Source organism: Homo sapiens, chromosome 1, assembly GCF_000001405.40.
Source record: "Homo sapiens chromosome 1, GRCh38.p14 Primary Assembly".
NCBI lineage: Eukaryota > Metazoa > Chordata > Mammalia > Primates > Hominidae > Homo > Homo sapiens.
In genome coordinates this window covers 219434746-219447724 of record NC_000001.11, presented here as the reverse complement: position 1 = coordinate 219447724, position 12979 = coordinate 219434746, and the positions used below count along the sequence as shown (strand labels likewise).

At 38.4% G+C, this 12979-nt stretch overlaps 1 protein-coding gene and 1 long non-coding RNA gene across 5 annotated transcripts in view, besides 1 other annotated feature; one reads left to right on the top strand and one right to left on the bottom strand.

Moving 5' to 3' along the window:
* The window catches only part of LYPLAL1-AS1 (LYPLAL1 antisense RNA 1), a 122167-nt gene extending 109600 nt beyond the window's left edge, over window positions 1–12567 (top strand). Inside the window, exons 3-4 of the long non-coding RNA NR_135822.1 lie at window positions 10552–10669; window positions 12312–12567. This is a non-coding gene — a long non-coding RNA (LYPLAL1 antisense RNA 1). The remainder of the gene's footprint in view (window positions 1–10551; window positions 10670–12311) is intronic.
* LYPLAL1 (lysophospholipase like 1) overlaps window positions 2229–12979 on the bottom strand; it is a 271619-nt gene continuing 260868 nt past the window's right edge. For 2 of the 4 annotated variants that reach the window (XR_001736967.3, XR_007078564.1), the window contains 2 exons: window positions 5291–5473; window positions 2229–3373 (listed from right to left, as the gene is read on the bottom strand). The gene's annotated coding sequence lies outside the window, so the exon portion shown is untranslated. Of the gene's footprint in view, window positions 5474–12979 lie in introns of all 4 variants that reach the window. The other 2 variants (XR_007078562.1, XR_007078557.1) reach the window with 2 other exon arrangements.
* Window positions 4428–5627: an enhancer, noted in NCBI's record as "CDK7 strongly-dependent group 2 enhancer chr1:219615440-219616639 (GRCh37/hg19 assembly coordinates)". NCBI's record gives its function as "activates an origin of replication core promoter dependent on BRD2, BRD4, P300/CBP, MED14 and CDK7 cofactors, with strong dependence on CDK7, by STARR-seq in HCT116 cells {active_cell/tissue: HCT116}" and the evidence as "EXISTENCE:reporter gene assay evidence [ECO:0000049][PMID:35650434]".

Below are 12979 nucleotides of genomic sequence, written 5' to 3'. Positions count from 1 at the left end.
AAGGAAATTATCACATTTGTGCACCCAGATAAACACATAAAAGTGTTCAAAAAAGTAGTGTTTATAATAACAAGAGCAGATAGCAAATGCCTATCCAGAGGGAAACGAATTGTAGTATATCCAGAATAACTTATTGCAATGAAAATAAATGAACTACAGGTATATGTGATAATATGATGCTTAGTGATAGCAGGTTCTCAGATGATCACAGCATGATAGTCTTTATAAGCAATAACGTTTTTGAGCAAACATATATTTGCTAAAATTATCTTTTAAAAAATGCAAGAAAATAATATAAACACAAAATTCAGCATGTCAGAGTTATGCAGCAGGGTAACGGGATGGGGAGGATTCTATAGATAGGCGCAAACATTGCTCATGTTTAAATTCTTGGGTTGGGTAGTTGACTTTTATCACTAACAAAGTAATAAGCCAGGGAATACAACGGGTAAATGAAAAAATAAAATAGAGTCATGATGAGACCAGTGATGATAGTATATCATAAATCAATATAAATCAACTCTTCTCATCTTTAAAATGGAATTAATAACAGTACTTAGCCTCCTAGGGTTGTTATGAAGGTTGAAAATCTTAGAATAATGCCTGGTACATAGTAAGTTTTATATTAGTATTTGTGAAAGATGAAAGAGAGAGAGAGAGACCGAGAGACAGAGAGAGACAGGGGCGGGTGGGGGGCACGGTGGGGGGAAGAAGTAAAAGAAGGAAGAAATAAAAGAAGGAAAGAAAGAAATCATTATGAATAATCAAATTCCGTGCACTTGAAGTCCATTATTAAAGCATTAGCCCAATGCAAAGAGGTGTCAAAGAATGCAAGTAAGAGTGGGCTTCATCAGGGAAAATTCCCGAGAGTGGTACAGATTTGAAATAATTTTTTTAATGTAAAAAGTATTGCTAAAACATAAACACATCAGTAGATTGGTTTACTAGTTAACAGGTTAAAGTTCCAGCTTCTATTTTCAGAGTGGAACTTAGTTGCCATGATAATAGGAGGTGACATTTGTTTGATTTTCCTCCCTTGAGTTGTGGAAGAATCCTATAAACTCTTCTATAAATAACCAAGTAGAGGCCGAAAGGTTTCCTGTAACTTACAGTCTAGAGCCAGTAACCTCTGATGGCAGTCTGAGTGGCGGTTGAATCAGCAGGGTGGCAGCGATCACAGGGGGAATTCAGTCTCCTCCAAGGAAGCTTGACTGAGCATGAATGGCTTATAGTTTGTTTCCCTCAAGTCCTCAGTAGTAGTCCATTAAGAGCCAATAAACATGAAACATTCCACTGGGTACCTTGTAGTCCTTGAGCAAGTGAATACAGCTCAGCCCCTCTGGCCAAGGAAAACACTGTCCAGTTGTTACAGGAGAACATACAGAGGACATACTATATTAACTGAGCAACACACTCCAACTCCCAGCTAGGAGCAGCGGATAAGACCACAAACCCTTCATCTGAGCAAAGTGCAGACTCTAATAAATTCGAATGCTTAGTGAAATATATAGTAACTTGTCTGTCTTATTCTGTTTAAGGTGGGATGGCCAGGGAAATATGTGAGTTGGGGGCATGAGTTAAATTGGTAATAGGGTTTAGGCCACTTAAAGAAATGAGTCATTTCTATAAATGGCAGACACCACTTTCAACTTCTTTGCTGTATCGGCCCCAAAGCTACCAATTATCTTTCATGTATCTTCCAGCTTCAGTTCCTTTCTCTTCATTGTCAAAGGGCTTCTTGGCTGCCTATGGGGTTGGCACCAAAAGGATTGAGTGTCAGGGTGGATGTCTCTTTGCCCACCTTTTGGGTGTGTTATTATTTATATTATACCCTGATTCCACAGATTATAGAGACTGTCTGTTGCTTATAAAAATAAAACAAGGCCGGGCGTGGTACACTTTGGGAGGCCTAGGCAGGCGGATCACCTGAGGTTGAGAGTTTGAGACCAGCCTGACCAACATGGAGAAACTCCGTCTCTACTAAAAATACAAAATTAGCCGGGCGTGGTGGTGCATGCCTGTAATCCCAGCTACTCGGGAGGCTGAGGCAGGAGAATTGCTTGAACCAGGGAGGCGGAGGTTGTGGTGAGCCGAGATTGTGCCATTGCACTACAGCCTGGGCAACAAGAGCGAAACTCCATCTCAACAAATAAATAAATAAAAATAAAATAAACAAACAAACAAAAAATTATCTTAAATCTATATCCTACAATAAATAAAGTTCCAAGTAATAAAAAACACCAAAATAATTTATTTTCACCTTTTTTCTCTTACAACTGCAGTCTACTTGTTTGTTCCCCCCACCGCCCCCCCCCCAATTTGAATAAACTTACATTAGGAGCACCAAGAAAAACACACAAAATAATCTAGTTTTTTTTTGGTCAGACTATGAGAATTGACAATGCTTGGTCAAGTTCAAGGACTTCCACACTCATCAGTTCCATTGATCCAGGAATGCTCTTTCTCTTCTCAGTCCTTTCCAGCAAACCAATTTTGTGGAAAGACCAACTAATAGTTACAAATGGAAACTTATTATTAAAAAAAAATTACAGTATAGGAACAGGTCTTCCCAATCAAAAATAAAGTAGAACATGAGTCAGAGATAAAGTCATTTCAAATGCATGTAGAAAACTGAAAGTCCTTGTTTTTTTTTTTTATTCACAGGATTTTTTTCTTTCCTTTTTAGGTTGTGGTCTAGAAAGCATATTGTGATTTGTACAAGAAGCACATTCCCATTTTACAAAAGTACAAAAGCACATTTTGGACTTTTAACAAATTCAACTGTTTTGTGTTCTGTGTGAGTAAATTTTAGGTTGCCCATCATTGAAAACCAGTTTAAAAAAAAATAATGGGAGTAGATAATCCAGACAACATTTTCTACCGTATTTGTTGACTCCAGTTGTTGGAAAGTAAAATTCTGGAGGAAGAGCTGGGATATCTCCAGGGGCTTAGTTTAACATCATCAAAGACTCTCCTGCTCCCCCTTTGCATGTTACAGTATCTGCTTTACCAATCAGAGGGAAATTTATCATGTAGGATTTAAAGGAGATATTTATGGCGTCCGTAAGCACAATGACTTTGACTGGTAAGACGTCAGCTATTCCCTTTAGGAGATAAAAGGCCACAGCTGGTGAGGTAATAGAACAGGAACTGTTTCAATATTTCAAAACAGAAGACCTTGTTGAAGAAGAGAGATTTTATATGGCATTTGCTTTTATTTTTTTCCTTCTATGATGAACAGGTGTGGGAGTCAATTCAAGAAGGCAGCTTAGATGATTGTGAGACAAGGGAGGGAGGTAAATATTTTTGATGGTTGGGGAAGGACTGAGATTTTCAAACTTCAAACCAAACATGTAGTCCAAGCCTTTTCTACCTGTGTACACAAAGGAAAGAGGAAACTAAGTCAATGTAAAATAGGCAGTTGTTGTTTGGAAAAGTTATGAAATCCTCCTGGCTACACAAAACAGAAAGCCCAGCTATGTGACAAGTGTTTGATGTAAATATGCAAATGCAGTTTTAAATTCATTATACCTAAGGGAACAAGGTGTCTGGGTAAGGGGGGTTCTACTGTTTCTTAAGCTTACAAAGCAGGTCCTTGAATAATGTCATTTAAGTTCAATGTAATTTCCTTATAATGTTGATGAGAAAAAAAAAATGGATTCCTAGCTGAAGTCATTGTGTGTGTGGACTTTGCATGTCCTCCCCATGTCTGGTTTCCTCCCAAAACCCAAAGCTGTGTCCGTTAGATGAATCAGTGTGTCTCACTGGTCCCAGCGTGAGTGAGTGTTGCTATGTATGAGTGGGCCCTGCAATGGGAATGGTGACCTGTCTGGGGCTGGTTCCAGCCTGGTACCCTGAGCTACCAGAAGTGGCTCTGGCCCCTTGAGCTTCTGAACTTGAATAAGTGGGTAAATTATTATCTTACTTGTTTTTGTTAACCTTTCTTAAGTGTATGTGTAGCTCACCTTCCTTTCAAAGTTATTTTGATGTTTATTTCAATATTAGAAGTGTTTGGGTCTTTCTTTAGAAGTTTGGTGATTTTTTTTTTTGTGACCAAAATATGCTGTAGCAACTTAACTCTTGTTTAGATCGGTTAGCTTATAGCAAAGCTATTTTCGTTATGTGTTCTTTCACTTGAAGTTCCAGTTTCCAAGAACCTATTGTCCAAGATAAGTAAGGACTTACTGTACTTCTGGGCACACAATGGGCTAAGCATCTTATATTATCAAATGAGATGAAATAAAATATAATGCTAAAATGATGTTAAAAAGTTATCACATTATAACAAATTATAAGAATTATTAAAATGACAGGATATATTAAAGCACTGTAAAAAGTAAAGCTTAGTAGATGCATTAGAGGTTATGATTGGCATTGCTAACATTATTATTATTAAAATCCTTCAGTGCTGGGCACCACTTATTTCTACCCTTATAACCCCATGGACCTGTACTGTATCTTGTAATAAAACCCTCAATAAATATTTGATACATTGCTGAATAAAAGGTAGGTTGACTTCTTAAAGTACCTGCAAAATACCTCATCCACAAGAGAAAAAGGCAAGAGAATAACCTTGCTTCATGAAGAAAGTATCGATCATTCAGGCGTTAAATTTTCCATTTGTTCATTTTTTTTTTTTTCCAGCAGAAACTCTTGGAGAAATTGCATAGCATTATTTTAAACAATTCCCCTCAGAGGCCCATTAGATAGGCTTTTCTGCAGACAGGATAGATGTCTTTTACAGCTGGTCAGTGTTTAGTTCTCCCAATACTTGACTGAAGAAAGAAAATAACTGGGATGTAAGATATCTGACCTATAGATTGCTCATTCTCTGCATGAGTCAATCTTTGAAGTCGGAAGATAAAAATCACCATTAATCACAAAACTTTCTTACCATCATAAGGTCAGATATCCCAGGGCCCTTCCAAAATTACCACGTGGACTGGCATAGGGCGAGATTGGCTCAGCTGTGGTCACTTTTATGACACAGAGCTCCTTCCCTCTGGTTGATGATATTGAATGAGCAGGAAGGAAGAAAAGAAATAAAAGTCAGCTAACCATGGTTGAGTCAATCCAGCCCACGGCATTCAAAGGCTGAAGGGCCACCTGACACTCCAGAGGCTGCTGGAAATGCAGGGCTGTTTCATCCTGGGGTGAGTTTCCGTTAGAAGAAATACTGACTTGAATGAAACAAAGAGTCCGTCCCTTGCTTTATTGGACAATGAAAGTTCCCATCATACTGATCAAAGATCGAGGATTTGGGACATGTGGGAATGCATTAATATCTCACCTGTGGCTGAGGCAGATGTGTGTTTCCAAATGATAATTTCTTTTCCTGCAAAGCCAGGTGTGTAAGGAGAACTAAGGGAAAAGGAAACTTTTTTTTCCTGTGAAAATCTGGATCCACTTCAATCCAATTCAGTTTCAAAAACATTTATTTACTTTGTGTCCCTTAAGTAAATAGAATATTATCCTGAAAACACAAAGAACATAGAAACTGAAGTGAGATAGGAAATTAAATGGAAAGGAAGGGAAGAGGGGAGAAAAACAGGGAGGAAGGAAAGATTGCTGAGGGACCTTTTGTATTGTGCTGTTTAATAGACACATTATTGCTTTCAGTCCTCAAAGCAATCTTGGGAGAATGGTATTGTTTAATCATTTGCCAGATGAGGAAACTGAAACTCAGGGAGGTTCCTACTTGCCCAGGGAGGTAAATATTGTTCATTCAATTTTGCTTTTTGATTTCTGAATTATTTTCTGTATTTTTGGAATTGCTCTCATTTTGATTCTTTGCAGTGGGGATGGGACAGGAAACCTTGTAATTGGAACAGATAATACTAGATGATTACTTTCCCCTCTTTCCCAGACTCCCTTGAAGCTATGGCAAAGGCTCTGATAACCACAGGCATCTGCCGCAGATTTTTCCTCAAAAGTTCCTGAGAGGGAATGAGTGGAGAGTATGCTTGTGCTCTCTGGCAGTGGCTCTTTCTCTGTCTCTCGCTCTGCTATAAGAGCAGATGACTCCAATGATGGTTAGTGGTGGCTACAGCGTTTTCCTTACGAAAGTGTTTCTGAGACTTAATTTTGCATTATTGCTAGAAGCTGGGTCTTATGCTTTTGTTTTCTGGCCCTTCTAATACTCTATTAGCTATTCAATATCTTTTTCAAAAACACTTCATTGTAGATTATTTAGCACATTCAAAAATATAGAGAATAGCATAATAAGCCTCCATATACCAATTTCCTTCTTAAACAATTATCAACACATGGACAATCTTGCTTCATCTGCACCCCTATCCATTTCCACAATTACCTGGATTATTTCAAATGAATCTCGGGCCTCATCTTATTTCATCTGTAAAATGTTAATTCTTTATCTCTAAAATAGAAATATTGTTTTACGAATGAGCACAATATCATTATCCTACCTAATGATAGTTCCTTAATATTAAATGTCTGTATACAGATGTCTGATTATCTTATAATTTTGATACATTTATAAAATATCTTCAAATCAGCATCAAAATAAGTTCCATACACTAAAATTGGTTGATATGTCATTTAAATTTCCTTTAATGTATAGATTCAATTTTCCTCTTACTCTTTTGTTTTTTAAACACATTGTTTTCCTGTAGAATTTCCCCCGTAAGAATTTGCTAATTGGATCCTTGTGGTTTCACGTATCATGCTTTTCTGTCCCATGTGTTTTCTGCAAATTATTAGTTGGATCTAGAGGCTCAATCACATTCACCTTGGATTCATTTGGCAAGTCAACTTCATAAATGGTGCTGTGAGCCTCTATTAGGGCATATAAAATGTCTAATTGTCTCCTTTTTCGTGAAGTCAGCAGTGATTGATGACTACTATTTAGATACACTATATCATTAGGAGTAGCAGAAAGGTGATATTATAATTCTATCATACTCTTTAAATTTGTTACCTGGAATCCTTCCATAAAGAGAAAATTCTCATACATTACTTGGTTGACTTGAAGTATTGGTCATATAGAAAAGTCAGAATAAATGCTTAATCTTTTTTCTTTATTTACCAGTTTTCAACATAGTTAAATAACTCACTGGTCAAAAGTGGCCAATTGTTTTTATTTCTATAGCCATTATTAACTAAGAAATTTAAATATATCTGATGTCTTTCAATCTATTGCCATTATCTTTACTGATATTTAAATTGACCCATCTCTGGCCAGTAAGAGGCTCCTCAGGATGGCTCCTGAGTCCTTTCTACACACTTTCAGTGGTCTTTGATGTTATGTTTTCTCTATGGTACATGAAGATCCAGGCTCATTTTGTACATTTCCTTCCCAGACATGATGTTAGTCATTTCTTAGTGGCATTTAGGGAATACACATCGATCCTGGGTTGACCTTTGTTTTTAGACATGTTTCAGTGGGCAGAGGTAGTAAATAGGTTTTTTTAAAAGAAGAAATTATCATGAGGTCATACTAATACTTCAAAATCAAATTTAAGACTGTAGAATTTTTGCTTAATCTAATCTACGTTACATATTTTTTTCTTTTTGTAGGCTGAAAATAAGGAACTCCCAATGGAATAATCTTAAAATAACAATTCCAATAGCACTATCAATAATATGATTACTGAAAAGAGAGTGAGAGTGTGTGTGTGTGTGTTTGAATTTCTTAGTATCACTAGAGAAAATCCCACTGAGTGTATATATATATATATGTGTGTGTGTGTATATATATATATATATGTGTGTATATATATATATATATGTATATATATATATAGTCAGTTTTGTCTTCTTAAGACAATTAAAATAGTTTCTCTGTGTGTGATTATGCCATAAAGCAATGTCTAGTTGGGTTTACTTGTTTTAGTTTGCTTTTGTCCTTTAGGGATTGCTTTTTTCAAACTTAATTTTGTTATATAATCATAAAAAATATTTGATGATTCCATAAAAGCCAGAAGGCCATAAGTTATAATATATATGCTTTCCCAACAGCAAGGATGCTCTGCAAACAGTATATATCCACAATGCCAGACCCCACTATTTCGTCTTTCACACTAATTCCATTAAGCTGAGCAAGCACTTATGAAATAGCCACTATTTAGTGTGGCCCAATCCTAGGAGTGTCCATAGTATTCTAACTATTTTGATATATCTAATATTGTGGTTAAAAGATAAGGACTGTGTTTTGCACATTTCCTTGAAAAGAGCTGTTCACAAAGCAAAATATAAACAAGTGCTTTGGAAGTTTCATTTGTTTTGGAGAGTAGGAATGTAAGGGAGTATTCTAGGCTGCTGAGGTTGGATAACGTATCATGGAAGAGGCAGGATTTGAACTGGAGTGATTCATGAGGAGGTGTTGAACATCAGCACCCTGGTTATGAAAAGAGGAAGGCAACTCTGGTCCTCAAAAAACTTGTAATCTAGTGGGGGAGGTTACCAAGAGTTCCATGTTATCTGTGCTCTAATAGAGGTATATGGAAGGCATAAAGGAAGTGTGCAAGAAGGGGACTTCAGTAAACTCAAGGGAAGTCAGAAGAGTACCTATGAAGCAGTGAGGCCCAATCTGAGTCTTACAGGAGTATGAGTTTGTCAGGTGATGGACTGGGGATAGGTAGGAATGGAGTGTAGAGCAAGACAAGCACAGGAAATAGTTCAGAAATGAGTTTGAAGGTAAAATAGAGTTTGAGTGAGTCGGAGAGCAAAGAGAAATAAAGTTGAAGGAACGTGCAGGATGAAACATCTTATATATCAGGTAGGCAAGAAAGAGCATGAAAAAGATTTAATAGGGTTATCAAGTGCTTAGCTTTCTGTCTAAAGAAATAAAAATTGTAAAACATAAATTAACCATTGACATACTAATGTCCTTTGTCATTACAATTTCATTTTTGATGGATGGATATGTTATCAACAGTGGCCTAGAACACTCCCCATTTTAGTTTTTTCTCCTCTGAATTATTTAGTGATGTGGAAACAAAACTTGAATAAATGCCATAGTAAATGCCTTGTGATCTTTTGCTGTTGTGAAGCATCTTTCTGTAGTATGAATAATTTCACCCTCTAATTTATCTGTTTGCCAATAAAACATTTAAATGCAAAGTCAAAAATGTGTTTATAATTGTTGTGTGGGAATCCCCAAGAAACTTCCCAAATAGGTGCTGACGATAACCTGGCAACACTATGTGACTAATTTTCCTGTTTACTACAGAACAATGGAGAGTAATAGACTTCTCTTAGTCCTTCTTGTTAGTTATTTGCATGTTCAATAAGAGGAATAAAACAAGTGCAGGTACTTTGCACGAGGAACAAAATGCAAAATATTTTATAGACCTCTTTAATGGACAAATTTCGTGGATTCCATCCCTTCCCCAAAACCCTACCTTAAGAAATATAATGAAAAGAGTTCCCTCTGTTAACCTGAATGACAGCCTGGGAATTCCCAACAGATACCTAACTCTAGGCATGGGCTCCCTCTGGATGTCTACTATAGAGGTGTTACCACCACAGTCTCAAGTCTCCAGATGAGGACTGAACATAGTGCTGATGATATCTAAATAGTTTTTGTCATTGTATTTGATAGGAAGTAAAGGGTAATTAAATTCTTTGAGGGGCCTATGCCTCTTGCTATAAGAGGGGTCCTTTTTTCCTCACTGAAATTAAAAAAGACAAATAGGGCTGGGTGTGGTGGCTCACGTCTGTAATCCCAGCACTTTGGGAGGCCGAGGCGGTTGGATCACTTGAGGTCAGGAGTTCGAGACCAGCCTAGCCAACATGGTGAAACCCCATCTCTACTAAAAATACAAAAATTAGCCAGGCGTGGTGGTGGGCGCCTGTAATCCCAGCTACACGGGAGACTGAGGCAGGATAATCACTTGAACCGGGGAGGTGGAGGTTGCAGTGAGCTGAGATCACACCACTGCACTCTAGCTTGGGTGACAGACTGAGATTCCTTCATAAAATAAAATAAAATAAAATAAAATAAAATAAATACAATAAAATAATAAAATAAAATACAGAGTGTCTTTGGGACCAGGGAGAGAAGGGACTTAATTGTTGCACACCCTAAAAACAATAGAATAAAAGATTGTACCAAAGGGGGCAAGATAAAATATATATTTAATATCTACTGAAACATTTCCCTGAACTCCAGTTTGGGAGAGGTACCTGGCAGCACAGATCTATGTGAGATCCCTCCTATTGCAATTTAATATGGAAATGTAGGGAGGGAGGGGAAGGATCAGAGTCAGGGAAACCAGGAATGGGTGTATTGCAAGAGTTCGGGTAAGAGACAGTGAGGTCCTTAGCTGGGATACTGGCTTTGAGATGAAGAAGACGTGGAAGATTTGAGAGCTATTTAGGAGGGATGGAGTGGGGTGGGAAGAGAGAAAGAAAACAGGATGTCCTAGTTATTAATGCTTTACAGGTGGGATGATGGGCAGAACATGGAAAGATGGTGTGAGAAGGGGAGAGTCCCACAGGCTGATGGTGGCATTCCTGCTCCTGCTCTGAGCTCACCCAGCCCTGTGGCACTCCAACTTCTACTAACTGGTGGGGTCACACTCCCAGTATTTTCCAGAGAGAAGTACTGAGAAGCTTAAAGTATTTGAATGGGAGGAGGAGAAGCAAACTACAGCTACTTCAGAGGATAACACTAAACACCTAGTCCACTCTGTATACACTAGAGGTAAGAGAGGTGGTTCATAGAACTTCACAGGCACCCAGAGTTTTCTCCTAGCCTTCTTGGTTAATTCTGTGTTGTCTAATATATCAAGAAAAAATAGTGTAACAGAGTTCCCAATCTCAAACTAAACCCTGAGATTTATTTTTTTGAAACACTGAAGCAAAGAACCTGGAAAAATTGTTATTTAGAAGTTGCAAGATGTTGTTTTGACTCCCTAGAAGTTCTTTCATTTTTCAGAGCCAGCTGTTCTCTTATGGAGGAGAGCCACCAGAATGTGATCTTTACTAATACAAATGCAGAACAAGTATTAACTCAACGCTCTTCATAATAATAAAATTCACTGCCCACTTGAGTGCACATGTTTATTATGAAATGGTAACACACTTAGCCTTGTGGATGAGGAACCCCAAATCTGAGCCCTGTGACTTAAGGGTCCAGACTTAAGGGTCTGCTCTGGCTATGCCTCTTCCCATGGGGCAAGGAATCTCTAGGCCAAATTAGAGCACACACTCCTTCCCCCTTCAAGACTAAGCTCCGGGCAGGCAGATTTATCTTTTAGGTACAATAGGTGGAGTGCCAAGGGCCCCTATTACTGTTAGGGGCCACAAAAATGTTCAAATTTCTTTTAAAATCAGAAAAAAAAGAATGAACTTTTAGGTTGAAAACATATCTGACATCATATTAATATATTTATTTCTATACCAACACAGTCGTAAGACATAACTTGTGATTTATTTTATGGAAAAGGGGGCCCACAAATACAAAGGCACCTAGAGTTCTTTAAAGACATAAAGTGGCTATCCCTCTAGGAGGCTAGAACCCCAGACTTTTATGTCCAAGTGGCCAAAGCCTACTTCCAGGGCCTGCGAGGGCCTCTTGCCCAGGTGTCTTCTTTTAAGAGCAGGCAGCACACAGGTATGAGCACCCCAAAGCACACCAGTGACTATGGCTGATCTTGTACAGTCTGTGACTGGAGTGTGGGTGTACGGGCTAGTGTGTTCCTGTGTCTATGTGTGAAGCTTCTTGTAATAGGAGATGGCACTGGGGCAGAATGAAAAGGAGTATAGACAAGGATTGGGGCTAGTTCTCTTCAAAATTTTGCATTCTGGTGCAGACTGTGTAGACAGCATTACTTGAACAAACTGTATGAGAACAGACATTGCAAATGCTTTAAATGAATGTGGGATGTGTCACTGATCTTTCACTATTATTATTATTATTATTATCATTTTTGGGACGGAATCTCACTATGTCACCCAGGCTGGAGTGTAATGGTGTGGTCTCGGCTCACTGCAACCTCCACCTCCCGGGTTCAAGTGATTCTCCTGCCTCAGCCTCCCGAGTAGCTGGGACTACAGGCATGCACCACCACACCCAGCTTATTTTTTGTATTTTTAGTACAGACGGGGTTTCACTATGTTGGCCAGGCTGGTCTCAAACTCCTGACCTCGTGATCCGCCTGCCTCGGCCTCCCAAAGTACTGGGATTGATTACAGGCATGAGCCACCGCACCCAGCCTGATCTTTCACTATTATTAACATTAGGAAGATAACATTGTACACTAAGCCCATCAAAGAGATGCAAGTTAAGTGCAGGCTAATAACAACTTTCTGTAAATAATTTAATTTTGAATTTTATCTAACAGGTGCTGTTAATTTTCTTGTGGAGAAGGAACTGTCTTTAGAAAAATATCTCAAAAAGCCACTGAAGTAGAAAGTTTCAGCATGCTGAAGATGGAACTTGAGAAGATAGAAAGTTCTGGGTCCTTAGTGGCATGACTGAGTCGCTGGACCACTGTTGGAACCACCCTATGTCTTAGTTTTTAAATCTCTTTACTGTCTAAGACATTTTTAGTGGAAGTATTTATCTCTGGCATCCAATAAGACCTTTAAGGATTTGCAGTTTTATCTATGTGTTTGTTTATTGTCTGCTCCACCCTACTTGATTGTGATCACCATGACATCAATGACTGTGCATCTTTTGTTCACTCAGGAATATCCAGTGCCTGCCACGCAGAGTGTGCTGCATGTACATGCTCACTTGATATCTGTTGTAGCAAAGAGTGAAAGAGAGAAGGAATAAATGCTTTCTCCCATGATGAGGGGACATGGGGTCCAGACAAGCTGGACCATTATCCCAGGCCCAGCGCTCTGCTTTATTTTTTTTTTTCCAGTACAGCATCACATTCAGTTACAACAGAGTGAAATCTCCTAAGAACACGGCTGATTATTTCTTGATTGCAAAAAGGACTCACTAACCCTCCGATCTCCTGTAACGCAAGTCAATGCTCTTCTAATCTCCTTTTAGACAGCA